General features: G+C 47.4%; 1 annotated feature.

Annotated features, from left to right (window-relative positions):
- Positions 1,280–1,781: an enhancer, noted in NCBI's record as "H3K4me1 hESC enhancer chr20:55619775-55620276 (GRCh37/hg19 assembly coordinates)". NCBI's record gives its function as "activates a minimal SCP1, AML or CMV promoter by ChIP-STARR-seq in naive H9 embryonic stem cells {active_cell/tissue: H9 hESC(naive)}" and the evidence as "EXISTENCE:reporter gene assay evidence [ECO:0000049][PMID:30033119]".

Raw genomic sequence — 2,036 nt, forward strand, 5'->3', positions numbered from 1 at the left:
CTCCGGACACAACCCTGCCCTCCCTGCTTAAAACTCTTAGCTCAGAGCACCTGGGCTTTTCAAAAGATGCCTTAAGCACCAGGCACTATTCCCAAGCCCATCTTCACCTATGTTACCTTCTCTGACAGTAAGATTAGCACATGCTTCGAACCCCAGGTTCTACTGTGTGACCCTGTGTAAGTCACTTAACCTCTCTGAGCACCACTTTTCTCCTTTATAAATTAGGATAATATTATGACCTTCCTTCAAGGGTTGGTACTAGGATTAAGTACATTAATGCAAATAAAGTACGTGTAAGAGGCCTACCGTGCAGTCATTACTATTTTTGTCACCAGAATGTGAGCTCCACGGGACAGGGACTTTGTCTGGTTTGCTGTGCACCGGAGGTGTGCCTAGAAGAGGTCTGGCACAACTTAGCATACCAAAATGCGTGCTGAACACACAAGGATCACTCACCCTGGACCGGCACTCTGAGCAGGGCGTCTGAGCCTTTGATTCCTATTTTCTGCTTCTAGGGATGCGTGCTGCTGCTTTAACTTCCCCACTGCCTTCCCCTGTCCACAGAGAGGGGCGGACATGCGGGACCAAAGACCGTGTTTCTGACTCTGGTCTCAAAGGTCATCCCTCGTTTCTTCCTCCAGCGACGTTCAGCGAGCCCTGGCTAGGGGCCAGGTACTGTGCTGGGACAGGCACTGGTGCCACAGCAGCGAGGAAAACAGACAAAAATCCCTGCCCTTCTGGATATGGATATTTGGGGCCCTGTGAAAGACCAAGCAAAGATGCACTGATTTTTCTTCTATGCCAAAAGAAAGCCTGAATGTATTCATTCAAACCCACGTTTCCATCTTTTGAGTACTTTCTACATGCCAAGCCCTGTGCTGGACCCGAGTCTAGCCCCTCTTCTCTGGAGCAGCTCTTGCCTCTTGGCAACACCGCATGTATAGAAAATGGTAGCATCTAGACAGTGTCCTGGGCTTAGGCAGCCAGGCTCTGGGGAGTCCGTTATGAGGCTTGGTGAAAAGCTTCATGGCATTTAAAGTACTGTGTAATGATAATAAAGACAAAATACAAAGGATTACGGGGTATATTTAATACTGAGTTTTGTTTAAAGCTTCCAAATAAAATCTTCTTACCTTAAAAAAAGAACTTGAACTTGCTTCCATATAGGTTCCTAGCTTATGCCAGATTTTATGCTTGACATGATAGCACACAATTTCTCAGCAAGAATTTTGTTAGGGATATCTGGAAATTACTAATTGCCACTCTTTATGAGAAATTTTGAATAAATAAGGAATATATTTTTTAAAATCATTTTTAAAACAATATTCAAAAAAGGAACATAAAAGAACAGGTGAAAATTATATTGAAAGAATCCAAAGATTCTTTTAACAACATAAAATATTGTAATTTCTTACGATTGTATGCAAGAATTCCAAACTGAACTTTTCCATACCACGTACTTCGAAATAACAGTGATGCTCTAATTTGGAGAACAGACATGAACTGTGAGTGCGGTGACTCTGAAGCCAGCTTGGATGATGCTAAAAGGACACATCAGCTGCAAATCAACACCAGCTGGGCTCTGGGCCATCTGGACCCTGCCCACCTGCAGCCTCCACCCAGCCTCCTGCCTCCACCTCCCTCCAGCTACACCTGGGGTGGCACATCATTCACCTTCAGCACCTGAGACACGAGCTCCCTCAGCGCCCCCAGGGGCCCTTGTCCATGAGAGCAGAGGTGTGCTTGCTGTGGGATGTGGACGAAGATGCTGAGATGCTGGAGGATCTCCTGGTTGAACCTGGAGCATCAGGCAGAGCAGAGTTTGTGCCGGTTGTGTGGGGAGTATGGGGCAGCCATTCACCTCACCCAGCTTGGGCCATCCTCCGAGGGTCCCTAGAGGAGGCTCCAGGCAGGGGATGGCTGGAACTGGAGCCCTGCAGACTTGGGTCTCTGACCACCCTAATCCCTGAGCACCATGTTATGCACTGGTAGCTCACCTGTAGGGCTAGAGCAGTGGTTCTTGAAGTGGGGTCCCC

Source organism: Homo sapiens, chromosome 20 (genome assembly GCF_000001405.40).
Source record: "Homo sapiens chromosome 20, GRCh38.p14 Primary Assembly".
In the NCBI taxonomy this organism is placed as follows: Eukaryota; Metazoa; Chordata; class Mammalia; order Primates; family Hominidae; genus Homo; species Homo sapiens.